The 24,493-nt window shown below is 41.8% G+C and overlaps 1 protein-coding gene across 38 annotated transcripts in view; it reads left to right on the top strand.

The window, feature by feature from the left end:
- IGF2BP2 (insulin like growth factor 2 mRNA binding protein 2) overlaps positions 1 to 24,493 on the top strand; it is a 181,913-nt gene that overhangs the window by 143,553 nt on the left and 13,867 nt on the right. For 23 of the 38 annotated variants that reach the window (XR_007095624.1, XR_001739984.3, XR_007095625.1 and 20 more), the window contains 5 exons: positions 5,577 to 5,699; positions 6,059 to 6,194; positions 8,821 to 8,949; positions 23,081 to 23,149; positions 24,088 to 24,204. Coding sequence is in view for 31 of the 38 variants with exons in the window: in XM_024453316.2 (XP_024309084.1) it covers positions 5,577 to 5,699; positions 6,059 to 6,194; positions 8,821 to 8,949; positions 23,081 to 23,149; positions 24,088 to 24,204 (574 nt within the window). In the remaining 7 variants the exon portion in view is untranslated. The other 15 variants (NR_138486.2, XR_007095628.1, XR_007095626.1 and 12 more) reach the window with 3 other exon arrangements.

The raw sequence follows: 24,493 nt of genomic DNA, 5'->3' as shown, positions 1-24,493 counted from the left end.
AATATTAAGTATTCCAATCCATGAACACAGGATGTCTTTCCATTTATTTGTGCCTTTAAATTTCTTTCAGGAACCTTTTGTGGTTTTCAGTGTACAAGTCTTTTACCTCCTTGGTTAGGTTTATTCTTAAGTATTCTATACTTTTTGATGCTATTGTAAGTGGCAGTGTTTTCTTAACTTCTTTTTCAGATTGTTTATTGTTGTGTATAGAAATGTAAATGATTTTTGCATGTTGATTGATTTTTGTATCCTGCAATTTTGCTGAATTTATTCTAACCTTTTTTGTAAAATCTTTAAGGCTTTCTACATATAAAATCGTGTCATCTGTGAATAGAGATCATTTTATGTCTTTCTTTCCAATTCGAATGCCTTTTATTTCTTTTTTGTACCTAATTGCTCTGGCTAGGACTTCCAGTACTATGTTGAATAGAAATGGGCAGGAGTGGGCATCCTTGCCTTGTTCCTGGTCTTAGAGGAAAAGCCTTGCATTCAGTCTTTCATCGTTGAGTGTGATGTTAGCTGTGGGCTTTTCATAAATGGTCTTATGTTGAAGTAATTTCCTTTTATTCCTAATTTTGTTGGGTGTTTTTTATCATGAAAGGGTGTTAAGTTTGTCAAATGCTTTTTCTAATGACATGATCATGTAGTTCCCCCCCCTTCTTTCTGTTAATGTGATTTATTGTATTGATTGATTTTTTAAAAAATGTTTATAGTAATGGGGTCTCACTACGTTTCCCAGCCTGGTCTTGAACCCCTGGCCTCAAGCAATCCTCTTTCCTCAGCCTCCCAAAGTGATGGGATTACAGGCATAAGCCACTGCGCCCAGCTCCCCATTAATTGTATGCTGAACAAACCTTCCATTCCAGGAACAAATCCCACTTGGTCGTGGCTTATAATCCTTTTCATATGCTGAATTTGATTTGCTAGTATTTTGTTGAGGATTTTTGCATCAATATTCATCGGAGATAATGGTCTGAAGTTTTCTTTTTTTGTGGTGTCTTTGTCTGGCTTTGGAATCAGGGTAAAGCTGGCCTCATGGAATGAGCTTGGAAATGTTCCCTCCTCTTCATTTTTTTGGAAGAGTTTCAGGAGGATTGGCGATAATTCTTCTTTAAATGTTTGGTAGCATTCTCCGATGAAGCCATCTGGTCCTGGGCTTTTCTGTGTTGGGAGGTTTTTGATTACTGATTCAATCTCTCTCATTATTGGTCTGATCAGACTTTCCATTTCTTCATGATTCAATCTTGGTAGGTTGTGTGTTTCCTCTAGAAATTGGTCCATTTCTTCTAGGTTATTAAATTTGTAGGCATACAATTCTTCATAATATTCTCTTATAATCCTTTTTATCTCTGTCGTATTGGTAGTAATGTTCCCTCTTTCATTTCTGATTGTAGTTATTGAATGTTCTTTTTTTTTCTTAATCTAGCTAAGGATTTGTCAGTTTGGTTGATCTTTTCAAAGAACCAACTCTTAGTTTTGTTGGTTGTATTTGTTTATCTCTGCTCTGATTTTTATTATTGCCGTTTTTATGCTGGTTTTGGGTTTAGTTCTTTTCAAGTTGAAATAAAAGGATGGGGCCGGGTGAAGTGGCTCATGCCTATAAATCCCAACACTTTGGGAGGCCGAGGTGGGTGGATCACAAGGTCAGGAGTTGAAGACCAGCCTGGCCAACATGGTGAAACCTCATCTCTACTAAAAATACAAAATTAGCCGGGTGTGGTGGCACACACCTGTAATCCCAGCTACTCAGGAGGCTGAGGCAGGAGAATCACTTTAGCCTGGGAGGTGGAGGTTACAGTGAGCTGAGATCATGCCATTGCACTCCAGCCTGGGCAAAAAGAGTGAAACTCCATCTCAAAAAAAGAAAGAAAACGAAAAAACGTTAAAATAAAACATAAAATAAAAGAATGATAGACAGCAACACAAAGCCATATGAAAATATATAGTTATCTGGTAAGGGTAAATATTAACAAATATAGTAACCTGTACTGTAGTAATTTTGGTACATAGAATTTAAATGACAAAAACTTTTTTTAACTATAAATCTATGTTAATGGGTATAAAAACATATAAAGATGTTAATTTGTGATATTTGGGGATGGGGTAAAAAAGTAGAGTTTTTTATGCAATTGAAGTGAAGTTGTTATCAGTTCAAAATAGGATGCTATGACTTTAAGATGTTTTATGTAATTGCAATAGTATCCACCAAGAAAAAATCTATGAGAACGCACAAAAGAAAATCAAAGCACATCACTATAATAAAAATCAACAACACATAAAGGAAGACAGGAAGAAAGGAAAGAAGGGACAAAAAAGCTACTAGACATACAGAAAACAATGAAAATGACAAAAGTAAGTCCTTCCCTATCAGTAATTACTTTTAAGTGCAAATGAATTAAACTCCCCATTCTTGGCTAAATGGATTAAAAACAGGATCTAACTGTATGTGGCCTACAAGAGACTCCTTTTAGATATAAGGACACATATAGGCTGAAAGTAAAAAGATGGAAAAAGATACTCCATGCAAATGGTAACCACAAGAGAGGAGGAGTAGCTATACTATTATCAGATGAATAGACTAAAAACAAAACTGTTACGAGAGACAAAGAGGGACGTTATACAATGTTAAAGGAACAATTCACCAAGGAGATACAACAATTATAAATATGTACACACCAAACCTCAGAGTTCTAAACATGTGAAGTCAACTTTGAAAGAGCTGAAGGGAGAAATAATTAGCAACATGATAACAGTAGGAAACTTAAGTGCCCTACTTTCAATAATGGATAAAACTACTAGACAGAAGAACAATAAGGAAATAGAATTGGAACAACACTATAGACCAACAGACATACAAGAACATTCCACCCAACAATGGCAGAATATACGTTCTTCTCAAATGCATGTGGAACTCTCCAGGAGAGAGAACATACAAAACAAATCTTAAAAAATTCAAGAAGATTGAAATTATACTACAAAGTATCTTTTCTGATCACAATGGAATGAAACCAGAAATCAGCAGCACAAGGAAAATTAAGAGAATTCAGCATTTTTTGTAGAGCTTGTCAAGTGGTAATAAAGTCCCTCAGTTTTTATTTATCTGGGAATCTTAATTTCTCCTTTGTTTTTGAAGGACAGTTTTACCACACATGGTGTCCTTGGTTGGCAGTTTCTTTCAGCACTTCAAATATATCATCCCACTCCCTTCTGGCCTGCAAAGTTTCTGCTAAGAAATCTGCAGATAGTGTTACGGAAGCTCCTTTGTATGTCACAATTGCTTTTCTCTTGCCACTTTGAAGATACTCTATCTTTGACTTTAGACAGTTTGATTATAATGTGTGTCAGTGTGGTTTTCTGTGGATTTGTCCCAGTTGGAGTTCTTTAAATTTTTTGATTTGTATGTACATTTTGTTCCTCATATTTGGGAACCTTTCAGCCATTACTTCTTCAAATAAAGCTCTATGCCCCTTTGTTCCCTCTTCTCTTTCTGGGATTCCCATTATGCTTATATTGATCTACTTGGCATGTCTCATAGGTCCCTAGGCTCTCTTCACTGTATTTATTTATTTTAATCCTCTAACTTGAAGATTTCAAATGATCTACATTCAAATTTGCTGGTCCTTTCCTCTGTCTGGTCAAATCTGCTGTTGAACTCCTTTAACAAATTTTTCTGTTCAATTGTATTTTTCAGCTCCAGAATTTGTTAGGTTCTTTCTTATAGTTTCTGTCTCTTTGTTGATATTCTCATTTTGTTCATGCATAATTTTTCTGACTTTATTTAGTTGTCTGTCTGTGTTCTTGTTTAGTTCATTGAGCATCTTTACAATTATTTTTAATTACTGGTCAGGGAGCATGTAGATCTGTGTTCTTTAGAGTCAGTATTTGGAGTTTTATTTTGGTCCCTTGATTGGGTCATGCTTCTCTGTTTCTTTGTATGCCTAGTAAGTTTTTTTGTTGGGATTTGGGCATTTGAAAAAACAACCACCTCTCACAGTCTCTGTGTACTGGCTTTGGGCAGTGGAAGACCTGAAATCAGCCTAGCTAGAGGTTCTAGGACCTCTCAAACCTTTTCTAATCTCTTGATCCCTCTGGTGTCTGACTGTAGAACTGCAGTTCTTAAATGCTGCTTGCCTCTGTTTTCAGCAGCTTCTGAACTCTAATGCTGATCCTTCAGTGCTCTGAGTCAGTGACACAAAAACCAGTTTTTCTGGCACCTTCCAGACAAGCCAAAATGTTGTATGCATAATCCAGTCTTTGTTTCTGTCCCAAAGGAGGAGCCCAGCCTTTAGGGTTTCCTCCCCTTTGCTCTTCAGTATGCCATGTAGCGGGTGGGGCCTTGAAAACACTGAATGTTCTTACCTTTTTTACTGGATATATATACATCTCTCTCTCTCTCTCTCTCTCTCTCTCTCTCTCTCTCTATATATATATATATATATATATATCTCCATATATATATATATCTCTCTCCATATATATAATCTCTCCATATATATATATCTCCATATATATGTATCTCCATATGTATATATATCTCCATATATATATGTCTCTCTCTCCAGTAAATATATATCTCATATATATATCTCCAGTAAATATATATACATCTCCATATATATATATCCAGTAAATATATATATATATCTCCAGTAAGTGTATATCTCCATATATATATATCTCCAGTAAATATATATATATTTCCAGTAAATATATATCTCCATATATATATATATCTCCAGTAAATATATATATATATACATCTCCATATATATATATCTCCAGTAAATATATATATATATATATAGTTGTTGTTTTTAGACAGGGTCTTGCTCTGTAGCCCAGGCTGGAGTGCAGAAGTGTGTGATCATGGTTCACTGTAGCTTTGGCCTCCCTGGCTCAAGCAGTCCCACCTCAGCCTCCCAAGTAGCTAGGACTACAGGTATGCACCACTATGCCTGGCTAATTTTGTGTTTTTAGTAAGGACAGTGTTTCAGTATGTTGCCGAGGCTGGTCTTGAACTCTCGGGCTTAGGCGATTGCCCACCTTGGCCTCCCAAAGTGCTGAAATTACAGGCGTGAACCACGGCGCCCGGCCTGGAATTCCTCTTTAGTTTACAGCGGACTTCATATTATAGCTTCTCAGCTGATCTTTAGAGTTCTCACAGAGGTGTTCTGGTCTATCTCTTGTTAATTTGAGGTGTGTGTGAGGGGGAAAGAGACCTGTGGCTTCCTAGTCTGCCATCTTGCTAACGTCACTCTCCCTTGTACCTTTTTTTAAGAGCAAGGAGAACATTCTTCACCCAATAGAGTTCTTGTAATACCCTCATTGGCCAGATCAGCCTCATGGATCCACTTCCAACCAGCTACTACGAGGGAGTAGAATTACCATGGTTTGGCTTATGTTAATCAAAATTCATGAACTGGGGTCGGTGAGGGACCTGACCTCTCCCAAATCCCATCATCACTTGGTACCTGAACAAAATGACTTCCATTTATAAGAAAAAAGCAAGGTAATGGTTTTTGGGAGACAACCGTTATACGTATCTGAAGTGTTAACTTGCTGCTTGTCTCTTTTAGAGCCGAAGAGATTCCTCTGAAAATCTTGGCACACAATGGCTTGGTTGGAAGACTGATTGGAAAAGAAGGCAGAAATTTGAAGAAAATTGAACATGAAACAGGGACCAAGATAACAATCTCATCGTAAGCCACTTACTCAGATTACTCATGCCCAATAATGGAACACCTGAGCATTTCGATACGTCTAGTTCATTCATCTACTTTTCCCTAAAATGGGAATATAATCATAAGTGATGCAATTATCTCCATCATCTTTTAAAAAAATACATAAATACTTACCAGGTAGACATTTTTCACTATGGATGTGATCTAAATCACTGGTAAGATTTGAAATAAGATGGCAGGGATTCTCCACCACAGTGTGTTGGGAGGGAATTGAGTCTTCTCTCTCTCCGCCAAAACTTGTTTGTGATTTTTTTATTTTTTGGGCATTTTATTTTTCCCGTTGAAAACAAAATTTCTCTTTTCTTCTCATGGGTCAGTTTGCAGGATTTGAGCATATACAACCCGGAAAGAACCATCACTGTGAAGGGCACAGTTGAGGCCTGTGCCAGTGCTGAGATAGAGATTATGAAGAAGCTGCGTGAGGCCTTTGAAAATGATATGCTGGCTGTTAACGTAAGTCCCTAATGCTTTCTTCTCCGCTGGTTTTCACTAGGCTAAAAATACTTGCCATTCAGCTAATGAGGAAGTGCCTTAGGATAGGTATGCAGAGTTTTTCCTGACTTCCTAGGATAAAAGCATTAAAATAATCAGGAAACCAACTAGTAAATTATGATAAGTGCGCTGGACAACATCACGTGAAGACATTAAAATTATAACTTTGAAGACTGAAATAAGGAAAAGCTTATGATATAGTGTTTATTAAGAAAAGCAAGAATAAAAAAAAAAAAAAAAAAAAAAAGAAAAGCAAGAATAACTGGGTGTGGTGGCATGCATCTATAGTCCCAGCTACTCAAGAGGCTGAGGCAGGAGGAGCACTTGAGCCCAGGAGGTTGAGACTACAGTGAGCTGGCATTACACCACTGCACTCCAGCCTGGGCAACAGAGTGAGACCCCATCTCTAAATAAGAAAAGCAAGATATAAAAGTATATAAGTAAATTTACAATTATGTAAAACAGCATGGATCAGAATGACTGGAAGGCTACATACAAAAATGAAAATAGCTGGCACATTAGAAAAGTGGGATTTTTTCCATGTATGTAGCCTTCTGAACCTTACATAATATTGTCCTGTTACTTTTTAAATTTTAAAAATGCATGCTTTAAAGTTAACTTCTGATTTTCCTCCCTTGCTTGCTGATCTGCACTTTTAGATTGCCTGATAAATGTTGTCAACCAGTTGAGCCTTTACTGTATATTTGTAGCAGACTCATTAGGTTTGTCCTTCCTGTGATTGCTACCTAATTTTTACTCTTAATGGGGAGACACTGATCCGGCATTCAAAAAACAAACAAACAAACAAAAACCTTTAAAATAATTGGCCATCAGCAAAAGTCCAGCTCAGCTCAGAGGAGTAAATTTTTTTCACTTTTTAATTAGATTTTTTTGGATGTATACAAAAGTGAATGGATGCTCCAATAAGTCCTCATATACCCATAATCCACCTTTTGCAGTTATCAACTCACCACCTGTTTTGTTTCCTCTAAACCCTCATCCACATCCACTTTCCATACCTGTTGGATGACCTTGAAGCAAATCTCAGACCTGATAATATTTCTTAGAGAAATAAATGTCGACAAAGCACTCTTTAGATTAAACCCAGGTCCCTCACTGCAGCACTTTCTGTTGTACCCTCTATACTCCAGGCAGTAATCTGTCCCCATCTCACCCCGACCCCCACCTTAGCAGCCCACGTCACATGACAATTATGAGGTGTGATGAGAAGAGCTAGAGCAGGAGACTGCAGTGGTGTCTTCTCCCCATGTTTGGATATATTTGTGGAAGTATCATCTGACAATCTCATTTTCTTCCTGTGGGTTCTTGACATCTTGTGGTAAACATCTCTTTCTGTGAACACCTGGAAAAGCTACAGAAGGGCCTGAGTGATTCATACATCTTCACCTGAGCTTACCACTTAGGTTCATTCATGTCTGTGCCAAAGTCACGCACTGGTAGGTGAATAACAAAATTACTACATCTTATAGACAAAATGAGGTAAAGATGAAGGATACGAGCACTGCTATTCCAAAAGTTCTAAAAAAAAGAAAAAGGCAAGTTACAGTGTGAATGTAGACAAAGATTAGAAAATGTTAGGAAATTGCTTCATGTTCAGGGAGACAAAGATGGAAGCAGGTTGGACACAGCCTGGAATGGGTGACCACGTTCCTCTGCCTCTGAAGAGCTGTGTGGCTAAACCCACCCCCAGTCTGTGTGACCATCCCCATGTAGAAATGTAAGATAAGCAAGCAAGCAAGATGATCACAAAGCCGACAACTAAATAGTAAAGAGACAAAGTTGTAAACCATCCCGAACCTGGCTAATGGAGTTTACGTATGTGGGAATTTACATCATGTGAAGAATCTGATCTCTCCATGGATAGAGTTGGAAAACACTGTTAATCCAATTTGTTTTAAACAGTCATTCAACAAATATTTATTGAGTACTTACTATATACCAGGCACTGAGAACACGACACTAAGTAAGACATTCTCTGTTTGCAAGGAAATTCTAGTCTGAAAGGGGAAGAGGTAACTAAACAGGCTATTCACATACCATGTAATGAGTGCTGTCTTAGGGAAACAGGAATGCTGGAGAGCACAGACAGGGCATTTGAGCTGATCTTTGGGATGAAAGAAAGCTTCCTGCATGAGGGGTAATCTATGCTCAGGTGAAACCCACAGGTCAGTAGGACTTAGCCAGGTGAGAAGGGAGAAAAGCACTTCCTTGCCTAGGAAATAAATAGCATGTGAAGGGGCTCAGAGGTATTTAGGAAACAGGACTGGCCAGGTTGGAGATGAAGGGTTAGCAGGAGTGAGGCTGGCAAGGTGGCTGCCATCCCCAGGAAGAGCCTCATTTTCCATGACAAGATATGTAGACATGCCCAAGTGTGGCAGAGAAGCCTTGAAGGAACACCATGGTCAGGTTAAGATGTGGCACCCACCTCTGATACAGGGTAGGAAGAGCCTGGGCAGAGCTGATTAGGAGACGCTGGTGCCATTAAGACAAGAGAGGGAGGTTGACCCAGGCGTGCGGGCCTCTCTGGTCTCCTCCCTTCATCTTTTTTCTCCATTTCTATTCCCAGCAACAAGCCAATCTGATCCCAGGGTTGAACCTCAGCGCACTTGGCATCTTTTCAACAGGACTGTCCGTGCTATCTCCACCAGCAGGGCCCCGCGGAGCTCCCCCCGCTGCCCCCTACCACCCCTTCACTGTAAGTAGCTCAGCTTGTGGAGGTTTGCTTATGCGCTGGGCACCTCCAGGCAGCAGCATGCCTCTGCTGTGTGGAATCAGAACGGAAGCTTTCATTTAAAGGCCATGCTCGAGTAGAGATGAATCCAATGTAGGTTGAACTCAACATTTCTTAGGACTTCTTCCTAATGGGCAACTTAATATTAAACCAATCCTCTAAACACGTGTTCTTAAATATAGTATGTCATAACTAGCAAAGAAAGAAACTCATAGCAAATTCATCAACTAGAAGCTAATTTATTATAGAAAAGAACTTGTTAGCTCAAATAAGAACATTTCATGAGTGATGGTAATTTATTAAAATATATAGGGTACCTGGATGATTCTTGAAGAGAGATATATATCTACATACATACATGTGCAGTTTCTACCTATGTTTACAAGTCAAATGTATTGTCTTATTAATAGGCAATTTTTAAAAGAAAATATTACATACATTGTTTATGTCTAAACACTTAGCACAATGCCTGGTATTTAGTAAGTTCTCAATAAGTATTTGTTCACAACAGAAGAAGAAATGTGAATTTTGTGAGTGTTTTACTTATTGCTTTCATTCACAAGCATTATTCAAGATCAGTACATTACCAAATTGGGGGCTCAGGATACTTGACAGCTTTTTTTCATTCCTAATTTTTCTCTACGCAGACTGCTTATTTTTAAAAGCAAACTTTCCCCCAATGTTTATGCTGTTTAAATGGGAAGAATCAGGTGGGTGAACATTGCCTCAGCCATTCTGTTCTTTTGAGAAGTGCTTTCTGGGGTAGGCTTCACATTGTGTGAATTCCCAGTAGCTTTTTGGGTTATCTGTAGAGAGACAGGATGAATCCCCTGTGCCATCCTGCCAACAAAATGCAGACACAAACTGGCACCCACATGCTGAGTCACATATATGCACACATTCTGCATTCTTGCTTATATATGGCTCTTCTGAATCTTTTCTTTTTCTTTTTCTTTTTTTTTTTTTTTTGAGATGGAGTCTTGCTCTGTCGCCAGGCTGGAGTGCAGTGGCGCGATCTTGTCTCACTGCAACCTCCACCTCCTGGGTTCGAGCTATTCTCGTGCCTCAGCATCCCAAGTAGCTGGGATTACAGGCATGCATCACCACACCCAGCTAATTTTAGTAGAGAAGGGGTTTCACCATGTTGGCCAGGATGGTCTCCATCTCCTGACCTCGTGATCTGCCTGCCTCGGCCTTCCAAAGTGCTGGGATTATAGGCAGGAGCCACTACGCCCAGCCCCCTGAGTCATTTCTAAATCTCTTCATACCACCTCTTTAGTTATATCATTTCCCCTTAAACTGAAGGAGGGGACTGACACTGAGCCTTGTGTGTTGAGTAGCCTGAAGATGCAGTATGAGGGATTGTGGCAGCTGTCAGTCACATGGCTGCGCCAAGCAGTAAGAATAGCTTGGGAGTTTCACATCTCTGTATTTTTGCTGTCAGATCTGAGAATGGCCCAATGAGGTACAACCAAGTGGCATTGAGGCACATCATCATTTCTTGGGAGAGAGGCTGTACATACAGCCCCACAGAAGATAACCTCAAACGTTAGGCTACCCTCTTAGTATAGGTAATATAAGTGGGGAGAGAAAAAGGGCATAATAAATTAGACCAATTCTAAAATCGGTAATCTAGGCCGGGCATGATGGCTCACGCCTGTAATCCCAGCACTTTGGGAGGCTGAAGCAGGTGGATCTCCTGAGGTCAGGAGTTCAAGACTGACCTAGCCAGCATGGTGAAACCCCGTCTCTACTAAAACTACAAGAATTAGCCAGGTGTGGTGGTGCACGCCTGTAATCCCAGCTACTTGGGAGGCTGAGGCAAGGAGAATCACTTGAACCCTGGAGGCGGAGGTTACGGTGAGCTGAGATCGTGGCACTGCACTCCAGCCTGGGCAACAGAGTGAGACTTTGTCTCAAAATAAATAAATAAATAAATAAATTGGTAATCTCAAATATAGGAGTCAGCATGCTACAACCTGAGGGCCAAATCTAGCTCACCATTTATTTTCATTAATAAAGTTTTTTAGGGGACACAGCCATGGCTGTTTATATACATATTATCTATTCCTGCTTTCCCCCTGTAGTGGCAGAGCTGAGTAGATACATACAGATCACATGAGCCACAAAGCCTAAAATATTTATGATTTGCTCCTTTGCAGAAAAAGTTTGCTGACCCCTGAACTAAATTTAACAAGGAGAGAATTTTTCTTTTAATAGCAGAATATTTTCTAAACTTGAAAATAGGTTTTGCTAGTTGGAAAGCTTCCTTTATATCTCAGATTTTTACTAAAATAGTAGAATAACCATTTTGCTAAAATATGTGTTTCCTGTTATTTGTAAAATAGGTTTTAAATAAAAAATTGTTAAACTAAAAACAAAACAAAAACAACCAGGTAATTCTGATCTTGATTCCATGGGTCAATATTAGAGTAGCTTCTAATCCAGTACACTGACTGACTGAGACATGATGGCTTCTGCAGACATCTCCTTCATGCAGCTGCAGAAGTGCAGGTCCAATGGCATGGAGGCGGCCCTCACTGCCCACCTGTGCAGGACCTAGGCTATTCCTGGAGTGATACCTGGAGAGTCCACACCGCAGACCTGTGGGCTTCCCTGGTGGGCCCAGCAGACCTGTGGGCTTCCCTGGTGGGCCCAGGACTCCTGAGAACAGCAGCATAGGGTGGTGGAGATACTTTAAATACTTAAAGTATTGTTTTCCTGTCACATAGGCATTCAAATTTCAAGGAACTAAGATATTTCTTGGTTGCTTTTGTATATCACAAAGTTCTGATGCTTTTGCTTTTAGCATCCAAAGGTCAGGGAGTCTGTGTCCCTCCTTATAACTGGCTCATCCACACCTAGGTTGGTTTCCGAACTCTGGAATTTTTAATGCATATGTGTGTGTAGGAAAACTTTACCCCCCCCCCTTTTTTTTTTTTTTTACTGTTTTTCTGGTTATAATAGTAATATGTGCATAGTGTTTAAGAAGCAGGGAGTATGTACTTTTGAATTTCCCAAAAAACACATTTCTCTGATCCTAAAAAAGAAGCAGCAAATAATACAGAAATGCAGAACGTGCAAGTTTTTCCTTAACCTAGATATAACCAGTGTTTCTGTGTAGGTATGTGCGTGTGTGTGTGTGTATATTTATATATGATTTATATTTTTCCCCCAAATTTTCACTCTTGGAATGGAAATCCTTGTGTGTATACATCTTGATTCATTTATCCAATTATTTCCTCAGAATAATTTCCTGGAAGTAGAATCAAAGAATCTGTACATTTTCTATGCTGATACATAGTATATAATTTTGATACAAAAAAAGGTATATTACTTTTCATTCCCATCAAGAGTGTGTGTAACGGAGCAAGATTTTTTCTTCCATACCACCACTACCAATTCCTCGCAGTCTGATGTTTTAAAATATATGCTTTTTTAAATTATATGACTAAACAATTTCATATTAGCCATTTTTGTTCTCTCTGATAAGTTGCTTTCTGTATTTTTGGCCCCTCAGTTATAGCTTAGGTTCTAGAGCAGACTGCGTGCATTTGAATTTCTACACTGTCACTTGCTATTTTTAACTTTGAGCAAGTGACTTAAGCTCTTCAGGTCTGGGATTAATAATAGTACCTACATTAGGGGATTGTTATAACGGTAATTAAGTTAAAACCTACATACAGTAACTGCTATGTAAATCATAGCTGCTGTTATCATCTTTTTATTTCATCTTTTTCTTAATGATTTGTCATAGCTAATTACATATTAAGGCTGCTAACCACTTGTCATGTTGTAAATATTTTCAACAGATATTCTCTTTGCTTTATTTGTGGTGTCTTATGTCATAAATAATTATATGTATATAATTATATATATGTTCATTTATAGTGAACAATAGTTCATAGTTCAACTTAAAATGCCAACTTTGTCATACACAGAATTCCCACTTAACTATATATGTAGTACACTATATATATATATATATATATATATCTCTCTCTCTCTCTCTCTCTCGAACAAATGAACTTTTGTTTGAAGTTAAATGTAAACATTTCCCTTCAGCCTTTCTTCTTTTATCCAAATTTCACCCAATACCCCCGCCCTAGAAGTGTAGTAGTTATGTTTACACATTAAAAAAAGTTTTCTCGGCATATATACAATCATATTATTCAAAAATACAAATGAAATTATGCTGTACACAGTGAATTACAAATTTTGTTTTTACTTATTATGGGCATCTTTCTATAACTAGACCTAGTTTGATTTAATGGCTGCATAATATTCCATTAAATGAGTTTATCATAATTTTTGTAACCAGCACACTAGTTTTACGCATTTGGGTTGATTCCAAGTTTTTTGTATTATAGACAATGTCAAAATGAATATCTTTACAGGCATATCTTGAAGATATTGTGGATTATATTCCAGACCTCCATAGTAAAGTGAATAACATGATAAAACAAGTTACACTTTTTTTCTGTTTCCCAGTGCATATAAAAGCTGTGTTTACACTATACTGTAGTCTAAGTGTGCAATAGCATTATGTCTGAGAAAACAATATCCATGTCTTAATTTAAAAATATTTTATTGCTAAAAAATGCAGACACAGAAACACAAAGTGAGCACGCGCATTTGGACAAATGATACCAATAGACTTGTGTGACATAGGGTTGCCACAAGCCTTCCAGTTTGTAAAAAACACGATTATCTGCAAAGTTCAATAAAGCCAAACGCAATAAAATGAGGTGTGCCTCTACATAAATCTTTGCACAAGTGTGTGAGTATATCTGTAAGTAAATTCTCTAAGACTGGAATTATTATGTCAAAGGGTATATGCATTTTAAATATTCACAGATTTCTCTCCACCAGAATTCATGCAGAAAACTTAAAAATTAAGGTAGTTAAATAATTGATATTTTCCTTTGGAGTTTCTGACCTTTGACGTCATGCTAAGGAAAAAAGCCTTCTTCCATCCAAGACTGTAAAATAAAATATCCTCCCCTATTTTCTTTTTCTTTAAGAGACCGTGCTATGTTGCCCAGGCTGGAGTGCAGTAGCTGTTCACAGGCACAATTATAGCACACTACAGCCTCAAATTCCTGGGCTCAAGCAATCCTCCCACCTCAGCCTCCTCAATAACTGGGACTACAAGCACTTGCTACCGCACCTGGCCCGTGTTTTCTTACACTAATTTTTAGTTGTTGGTTTTGGGGGATTGTGTATGTCTGCAATTCATGGAGAATTTATCTTGACTTATACTGAGATACAGATCTAACTTTATTTTTTTTGAAATGGATATTCAATTTTCCCAAAATCATTTATTGAGTAATCCACCATTTTATCGTTGAACTTAAAATGCTAACTTTGAATCTCATCGAATGCCAACATAGAATCTCATTCACTAAATCAAATTTCTGGCCTCTATTCCCTTCCGTTTGTCTCTGTCTACACAGCAGATTCTGTGTGTTTTATACTATTTGACAGTTTTAACAGCAATGTTATTTTTTCCTCAAAGAATGAACTGGAAAGGTGGCCAACTTTTACTATGCTTGGGAAAATCAAAGAAAAGATTGGAATTTTCTCTTCCTTGAAGAATTGGTAAAAATTCAATCAAAAAACATGTGGGCCTACCAACTTTTGTTTGGAGAAAGACTGATTATTACCTTTTCAATTTCTTATAAGTTTTTAACTTCATTTTGTTGATTTATATTTTCCTATGAAAATACACATTTTTTTCCACTTAATTTTTCTTTTTATGTGTATTGATATAAAGTGATACAAAACAGACTATTATTGCCTTTTAAATATCCAAACTTGTGGTTATTTCTCTCAATTTCTTTTTTTAAAAATATTTATTTATTTATTTATTTATTGAGTTGGAGTCTTGCTCTGTCGCCCAGGCTGGAGTGCAGTGGCACAATCTCGGCTCACTGTAACCTCTGCCTCCGGGTTCAAGTAATTCTCCTGCCTCAGCCTCCCAGCTGGGATTACAGATGCCCACCACCACGTTCGGCTAATTTTTGTATTTTTAGTAGAGACGGGGTTTCACCATGTTACCCAGGCTGGCCTTGAACTCCTGACCTCAGGTGATCCACCTGCCTCGGCCTCTCAAAGTGCTGGGATTATAGGCGTGAGCCACCATGCCCGGCCTAAGCTTGTGTTCTTAATAAATACACAACCGCATAATCCAGTTGTTTAGAATTAACTAAACTTTTACTGGTTTCATTGCTCACTACAAACAGCTTCTTGTGTTCCACACCCTATCAATTTTTGAGTTACTTATTTGAATTTTTTGTTGTTGTTTGTCTGGAGTATTTTCTCAAACAAGTTTTAACAGAAATAGCACGAGTATAATTTCTAAGCCTTTCTGTATCTGAAAGTGTCCTTTTTCCTTCACACGTGAATGAATTCTGGGTGTCTAGAAATTCTAGGGTCATAGTTCCTCTATCTATCTATCTATCTATCTATCTATCTATCTATCTATCTATCTATCTATCTATGTACCTATCTACCTATCTATCTATCTGTCTATCTAGAGACAGAGTCTCGCTCTGTCACCCAGGCTAAAGTGCACTGGTGCAATTTTGGCTCACTGCAACCTCCGCCTCCCAGGTTCAAGCGATTCTCATGCCTCAGCCTCCCAAGTAGCTGGGACTACAGGCATGTGCCACCACACCTGGCTAATTTTTCTATTTTTGGTAGAGACGGGATTTTGCCATGTTGGCCAGGCTGATCTCGAACTCCTGACCTCAAGTAATCTGCCCGCCTTGGCCTCCCAAAGTGCTGGGATTACAGGTGTGAGCCGCCGTGCCCAGCCCATAGCTCCTTTAGAACTCTAAAAATGTTACTTCTAGAATTGTTTCTTTTGTAGATATCCTCCTCCTCCTCCTCCTTCTTCTTCCTTTTCTTCTTCTTCCTTTTCTCCTTCTTCTCCTTCTCCTTCTCCTCCTCCTTCTCCTCCTCCTCCTTCTCCTCCTCCTCCTTCTCCTCCTCCTCCTTCTCCTCCTCCTTCTCCTCCTTCTTCTCCTTCTTCTTCTTCTTCTTCTCCTCCTCCTCCTCCTTCTCCTCCTCCTCCTTCTCCTTCTCCTCCTTTTCCTTCTCCTCCTCCTCCTTCTCCTCCTCCTCCTTCTCCTCCTCCTCCTTCTCCTCCTCCTCCTTCTCCTCCTCCTCCTCCTCCTCCTTCTCCTTCTGCTCCTTCTCCTTCTCCTCCTTCTTCTTCTTCTCCTTCTCCTCCTCCTCCTCCTCCTTCTCCTTCTTCTCCTTCTCCTCCTCCTCCTCCTCCTCTTCCTTCTCCTTCTTCTCCTTCTTCTCCTCTTTTTTTTTTTTTTTTTTAAGAAACAGGGTCCTGCTCTGTCACCTAGTAGGCTGGAGTGCAGTGGTGTGATCCCAGCTCACTGCCATCTCGAACTCCTGGGCTCAAGTGATGCTCCCTCCTCAGCTTCTTGAGTAGCAGGGACTACAGGTGCACACCAACACGCCTGTCTGTTTTTCCCCCCCGGTATCTATAAGTTTTTTTGCCTTTTATAATAATTTGCCTTTACCCTTGGAATTCAGGAATCTGAATCTGAGTGCTTTGATCTAAAGATCCGTGTTTTTCTTTGGCTCAGGAGAATGTTTTCCTTCCATAATTAATTTTAGCGTTGCTTCTCTCCCATCCACTTTATTTTCTCCTTCTGGAGTTCCCACTCCAGAAGAGGAAAGTTATAGCAAACCTCACTCTACTCTTTGTGTCTGTCCACTTCCCACTCTTTGTCTTGGTTTTGTGTGGTTTAACAGTCTCGTGCATTGATGGGCTTTTCAGCAGTGTCTTCCCTACTATTTGTACATCCTCTACTGAGTTTTTACTTAACCATGTTTTTCATATCCAGGGTCACTCTGGTTCTCTGATTGTTCATTTCTCATAGCAGTCTATATACAAATTATTGAAGCACTGTCCTGCTGAATCTCACTAGGAGATCAAATCACAATTTTGTAAAAAGCTCTCCCTTCTCCCTCCATTAATTCACTCGGGTCATTTGCTTGTCTTGTGCAGCTGGGCTTCTCTCCTTCATGCTGGTGATTCTTTATATATGTCTAATGGATTTTAATTGTCCATTTATATATTTAAATGCATTCAACAGAGAGCATAATTACAATCCTTAGGGGAGCTTTTTCTTAGCATGCTCCCCAGACCCCACCTGAACCAGTGAGTTCAGAATGTCCCAGGTGAGCGCAGCAGTGAGTGCAGTGGTTTAGATCTTGGGCTGCAGAGGCAGACACAGAGATCTGTGTTAGCATCTCAGCTCTACCTCTTGCTGGCTCACGAGTTCCTAGCTCCCTCCAGCTTCTAAGGTTGTCCCATGAGAACACACAGAGCAGGACAGGCAGCTCCATGTAAAGAGACACTTTGACAAGCTGGCATAGAGCAGTGCACCTTCTGCATCTTAGAAAGCTATGTCCACAACACTGAACCCTCCGGCCAAGTCGTCGCCCCTTCCTAAGGCCCATGTCCCTGGTGCCCAGAGGGAGCACCTGCCAGCTTTGCAGTCTGGTATCACTCTATCATCACACTAAAACTATTTAAATATTTGAACATAATTCATATATATGCCTTAAAATACCAGCAAACCAAATTCAGCAGTACATTAGAAAGACCATTCATCATGACCAAGTGGGATTTATCCCTGGGATGCAAGGATGGTTTGACATATGCAAATCAATCATTGTAATACATCATATCAACAGCAAAATTAGTAGAAGAAAATAAGTAATAAAGATCAGGGTGGAAATAAATGAAATTGGAATGAAAAATACAGTACAAAAGATCAATTAAACATAATTCCTATGCCTGGTCCTTGCGCTTTGCACTCACCTTTCCCACCCTTCACTCCTCCCACCCCCTGATTTCTTCATGCTTCAGAATATCACCTAAATTGTGTATCAGATGGTCACACATCGCAGCTTGAACCCTGCAGTTCTCCCAGGAAAAGGAGGCCCTGCTGTTTATAACTCCATTTTTTAATTTTCACAAGTGTGTTTTATATATGCTCCTCTACCTACCCCCCAGAAGAGTCAAACTCAGAGAAAAGGCAGACACCAGTGTTCCTGAAGTTGAGAGTTTGAAACAAGCCTGTGGATAACAATTACCCATCTCCCTCTGCCTCTCAGTTAGTGGGTGGGAGGTGAGGGAGTGAGGACACACCTGGCAGGAGTGCCTTCACCACACCTCCTTTCCCCCTCCCCACTGCCAAAATGATTTTGAAACACTCAAAAATAAAGTAGCTTCTCCGTCATAAAATAGGTGGGACTCTCCAACTGGGACAGTGAGTCTAATGGCCACATTGGGGTCAGGGTTCCCTACCAACCTCCCTATCCCTCAGGGACTTGAACCAGATGTCAGATGACTACAACCTGCTTTCCCATTAAAATAGTTATTTGAGTCATTGCCAAGTTACTTTTTCTGACCATTATAAATAAGCAAGATTTGAAAGCCCCCTTCCATTTGAGGCTGTAGACATCACCTAACAGAAAGTATGGGAATGGGGCTGGGTGTGGTGGCTCACTCGTGTAATCCCAGCACTCTGGGAGGCCGAGGCAGATGGATCATTTGAAGTCAGGAGTTCAAGACTAGCCTGACCAACATGGTGAAACCCTGTCTCTACTAAAAATGCAAAAAAATTAGCCAGCTGCAGTGGCTCAAGCCTGTAATTCCAGCACTTTGGGAGGCCGTGGTGGGAGGATCACCTGAGGTCAGGAGTTTGAGACCAGCCTGACCAACATGGTGAAACCCCATCTCTACTAAAAATATAAAAATTAGCTATGCGTGGTGGTGGGTACCTGTAATCCCAGCTTCTCAGGAGGCTGAGGCAGAAGAATCACTTGAACCCAGAGGCAGAGTTTGCAGTGGGCCAAGATCATGCCACTGCACTCCAGCCTGGGCAACAGAGCTAGTCCATCTTAAAAAAAAAAAAAAAAAAAAGTATGGGAAGGGGAAATAGTATGCTCTGATAAGACACTTTTTTTTTTTTTGTCTTTTTTTCTTTTTGAGATGGAGTCTCACTCTGTCACCCAGGCTGGAGTGCAGTGGCATGATCTCGGCTCACTGCAACCTCCGCCTCCCGGGTTCAAGCAGTTCCCCTGCCTCAGCCTCCCAAGTAGCTGGAACTACAGATGTGCACCACCATGCCTGGCTAATTTTTGTATTTTGGGTAGAAGTGGGGTTTCACCATGTTGGCCAGGCTGGTCTTGAACTCCTGACCTCAAGCGATCTGCCTACCTCGGCCTCCCAAAGTGCTGGGATTACAGGCTTGAGCCACCACGTCTGGCCAGACCTTTCATTATACATAAGCACTCATTTATCACTAATTAATTTAGCTCATCCAGTGCCCAGTGATCTTTCATTCCTGTGACCTCACTGAATGCCACATAGCACCCGTCAAGGGCGTCTGTCCTGCTGAGTGTCAAGTCTGTAGCCCACTGGTGCTGCCTCCCCCGCCACATCCTGCTAACCCTCATTCACATTCACCACACTGCCCTCCTTTCTGTTTTCCAGTAGGCCAACCCCTTTTCTAGCTCTGGACCTCCTAGAACCCTGCTTAGAATGCTCCGTCCCAGTGCCTTTTCTGGGGCTCCATCTCCTCCCTGGGTCTTGACTGCAGCAGTCTTTTCCAGACCACTCACCTCCACACCTGCTCCTTGCCTGTTCTTGTTCATTTCTTTCACAGTACTTGAAGTTCTCTTTTGTGCCTGCCTCCCCGGTAGAACACAAGCTCCATGCTGACAGTGACCATTACTGTCTTAATAACTGTGTCCCCAGCACCCGGGACCCGGGTCAATGCCTCCCACAGAGTAGGTGCTCAGATGCCTTTTTTTTTTTTTTTTTTTTTTGAGACAGTCTTGTTCTGTCACCCAGGCTGGAGTGCAGTGGCATGATCTCGGCTCACTGAAACCTCTTGTCTCCCGGGTTCAAGCGATTCTCCCACCTCAGCCTCCTGAATAGCTGGAATTGCAGGTGTCCACCACCACGCCCGGCTAATTTTTGTATTTTTGCTAGCGATGGGGTTTCGCCATGTTGGACAGGCTGGTCTTGAACTGCTGACCTCAAATAATCCGCCTGCCTCAGCCTCCCAAAGTGCTAGGATTACAGGCATGAGCCACCGTGCCCAGCCTCAAATGCCTTTTGAATGAATGAATGAACAAACCCTCACAACAGTACTATAAGAACTAGATATTATTTGAGTCTGTTTGTGGATAAGGCTCAGAAAGATTAAATAATTTTTTCCAACTTGTAGAGGTAGTGATTCAGAGACTCAGATCTTCTGACACCAGAAACTAACTTCTATATACAGGGGCTAATGGCAGAGCCTCCGCTAGAAACAAGCTCCTGATTGCAAGTTCAAGATTCTTTCCCTGTGACAATTTTTCAGCTGTTACTCATGAATAAAAGAGAATTTGTCCTTTTTATCCTTTGACAGCTAATTTTAAAAATCTCTTTCTTACCCTGAGTTCCTAGGAAGTCTAAATTTGATAGTATTTATGTGAGAAGTATTTGAACCCAGAATAGGAGCCACACTGTGGCTTGTCTATTCCCGGCCTCACATGAGTTTTGTAAGGAAATGGCAAATCATAGTTCAAAGGAATTATTTCTGCCATGAGACCTGAAGGAACGATTCTTCAGGCGGGAGGAGGGCTGAAGTGCTCTTTTCCCAGACTAGAGTTTTGTGCAGAAGAGTTGCATGAATTCTCCCCCAGCTCTTCATGGCCCAGGACACGGACCTGCAGAGAAAGCTCTGGAGCTGATGTTCTTTCCAGGGGGTCCTTAGAAGCAGAGCCAAGAGAGAGAAACTGCTTCACCCACCTTCCTGCAAAACTTGAGCTTGCCAAGAGACTGCTGATCTCATAGCGCCCTCTTGTGGGCATGAGGGGCTGCTGCAGCCCCTTTCCAAGTCAAAGCAAGGCTCTCACTACAGCCGTGTTAAGTGGAGCTCTGTCGCCGGCAGGCGTGGCTGGTAACCTACAGCAGCCCTGGAGCAGCTCCTCAAGTTGTTCACATCTCTGCCTTCTCATTCCAAGCTCAAAAAGGGCAACGGTTTCATTTTGTCCCTAATGGGTCATAAGGCAAAATCCTAACCTTCAGGAGATTCGGGGGATGGAGGGCATTGCCTGTCACTGTGAGATTTGCTCAGGGATCCTCAAGTGAAAGCTGGGTCACCAGACTCCAAACCTCAGCCACGTCTGACCACTGTTGGAATCGTCTTCCTGGAGGACTATCTTGCAGGGTGGGCCTGTGGGAATTGGTTCCATGGTGCCCAGAGCTGTTCACTTCCTTTCCTGGAACAGCAATGTCAGTGTTGACCCAGCCTTGTGTAAAGCACAGCTAGCAATTCTGCTGACTCAGGTCAGCGTTCTGCCTGTAAGAATATATCAGACCGGGCGCGGTGGTTCACGCCTGTAACCTCAGCACTTTAAAGGGAGGCTGAGGCGGGTGGATCACTTGAGGTCAGGAGTTCAAGACCAGCCTTACCAACATGGTGAAACCCTGTCTCTACTAACAATACAAAATTAGCTGAGCTTGGTGGCACATGCCTGTAATCCCAGCTATTTGGGAGGCTGAGGCAGGAGAATCGCTTGAACCCGGGAGGTGGAGGATGCAGTGAGCCGAGATTGCGCCACTGCACTCCAGCCTAGTCAACGAGTGAAACACCATCTCAAAAAAAAAAAAGTATCAAATCAGACATAGTTCCTTCTCATAGGACTGTTGTGAGGATTAAAAGAGTTTATGAATAGACACAAAATATCTATGTTAGTATCTAGTACACAGTACCTATTCAGTAAAAAGCAGCTACTTGGCAGGGTGCAGTGGCTCACACTTATAATCATATCACTTTGGGAGGCTAAGGCGGGTAGATCACCTGAGGTCAGGAGTACGAGACCAGCCTGGCCAACATGGTGAAACCCCATCTCTACTAAAAATACAAAAAATTAACCAGGCGTGGTGGGGGGTGCCTGTAATCCCAGCCACTTGGGAGGCTGAGGCAGGAGAATCGCTTGAACCTGCGGGGGCGGAGGTTGCAGTGAGCCGAGATCGCGCCACTTCACTCCAGCCTGGGCGAAAGAGTGAAATGCCGTCTCAAAAATAAAGAAATAAAATAAAAGCAGCTACTTTCTAAATTTCTATTTTCTTAATAGCTCTACTTTTTTTCTGTCCATATCTGCCCTCCTGTTCCCTGCTCCTCTCTCTCCACATTCATTTTCTTTCTCTCCTCTCTCAGTCACTCTCTCTCTTTTTTTTTTCTTATGGAGACAGGGCCTTGCTCTGTCGCCCAGGCATAGCACCAGTGCAGTGGTGCAATCATAGCTCACTGCAGCCTCAAATTCCTAGGCTCAAGTGATCCTCCCACTTCAGCCTCCTGAGTAACTGGGACCAGAGTGCACACTACCACACCCAGCTAATTTTTTATTTTTATTTTTTATACAGATGGGATCTCTCTGTGTCACCCAGGCTAGTCTCAAGTTCCTGAACCCAAGTGATCCTCCCATTTCAGATTCCCAAAGCTCAGTCTCCTTTGACATTTCTCCCTTCTCAGGATTCTTTCCATTCCTTCTAGAATTCTCTGATGGAGCTGACTGATCTATCTGCCCAGGAACACATTTGCTTGTTCTGAATAACTCTTGGGTATTGTCCAGCACACTCTGTTCTTTTTCATCTACGACTCATCATTCTCCAGAAAACGGAAGGCACTGGCCCCGCCTCTCCACCCGAGGGCAGGTTAAGAGTGTATGGGTGCAAGTGCCAGTGGGTGTATGTGTGTATGTGTGTGTTCACACCCATGGTATGTTCCTAGGACGCCTCAGGCATGACTCAGCTTAGAAATGATGAACATTTAGCCCAGAGAGCTACTGCAACCAGGGGACATCTTGCCAAGCATTCCGTGGTCTGAGTGGGAGAAGTGGAGCAGAGATCTGAGACACAGAGGGACAGGCGTGTAGACACGACAGTGGAGCCAGCTGATGCCACAGAGAGCCTGTGTCGCATGTTGGGAATCTGGCCTCCCTGAGGCCAGTGACAGTCCCTGAGAGCACCCGCCCACTGACTCTTTCTCTCATGCTGCAGACCCACTCCGGATACTTCTCCAGCCTGTACCCCCATCACCAGTTTGGCCCGTTCCCGCATCATCACTCTGTAAGTGCCCCCTCAGTTCAGCCGCACCTGCCACTTCTCCTGGGGCTAGGCCCACTTGGCCCTTGGTGGCCAGTGAATGTTCACAATGCAGATCTTGTCTCCTGTGGTTCTGGTTTGTCCTGGGAGTGACACACCTCAAAGCCTGAGCACGCCAAACTCCCCAGCACCCGAGTGCTCTTGAGGTTCTGCAGAGGCCTAGGCCGTTGCTGTTGCACCTGTGGATGCTCGCACACCTCACAGGTCGCAGGAACTGCTGCAGATGGGCAAGCAGAAGGCCAGATGAGCACGTGCTGTTGGCACTGAATAGCAGAGTTTCCAAAGATCTTTGAACAAAGTCTAGCAAATGAGAATGTCATTTGCACAGACCCCACTTGCAAGGACCCCTGGCAGCCTTGCCCAAGAGCCTCTGCCTTTTGTCACAGGGTCCCAGGAGGGATGGTTCACCCCATCTTCCTGGAGCCAGTCACCGTGCAGCTGGGTCAGGTCAAGTTTAGTTGTGAAAATGCTTCTCCGGATACCAGATGTGTTGGGCAGCTTTCCATTCCCTCTAACAGAATGCCTTGGGGCCGTCTTCAGGCCAGGTATGTTTAATAGCTGTTTTCATTTCTTGGGTGAAGACACAGGAGAGATACAGATCACATTTGTATAAGACAGAAAACCTGCGATCAGACAGCTTTTGGAATCCAACAAATTGAGAAGCTCAAGAGGAGGATGCCCTTGATTATCACTAGCGCTGCCTGTGCTCAGGTCCCTTCCTCAGGCTTCACACCTGCAGAGCCGCAGGCCGCAGAAGGATCCTGTGCACCATTTTGGCCATTTCCTTGGGTGGCGGGGCCTTCCCACCATGGGGTTCATGGTAAGGTGCTTGGTACCTGTTGAGTGCCTGGAGGAGAAAGCCTGGTTGGAATGATGTCTTCTTTCTTGTCTCGCCCTCCCAGTATCCAGAGCAGGAGATTGTGAATCTCTTCATCCCAACCCAGGCTGTGGGCGCCATCATCGGGAAGAAGGGGGCACACATCAAACAGCTGGCGAGATTCGCCGGAGCCTCTATCAAGGTGAGGCTGCTCCTGACGGCCCTGTGGCCCTTCTACCACCTCCTCTCATCCCACGGCCCTTGTTCCCTCTCAGTCCCAGGCAGCGCCACACCATGCAGAGACAGAGTCCCACAGAGATCTAGAACATTTGCCCCATGACTATTCCCGTCCGCTCTCATCTTTCCTTTTCTTATTCCTTTACTGTTCAGCTAACCACTGAATTAGAAAAAAATAGTAGCAGACAACCCAACCCAGTCCTTTTTGTTTTATCATTGTTGTCCTCAAGAAGATAAAGAAAGGTTGAGGATTT

This window comes from Homo sapiens, chromosome 3 (genome assembly GCF_000001405.40).
Source record: "Homo sapiens chromosome 3, GRCh38.p14 Primary Assembly".
Taxonomy (NCBI): Eukaryota; Metazoa; Chordata; class Mammalia; order Primates; family Hominidae; genus Homo; species Homo sapiens.
This window is presented reverse-complemented; position numbering and strand designations above follow the sequence as displayed.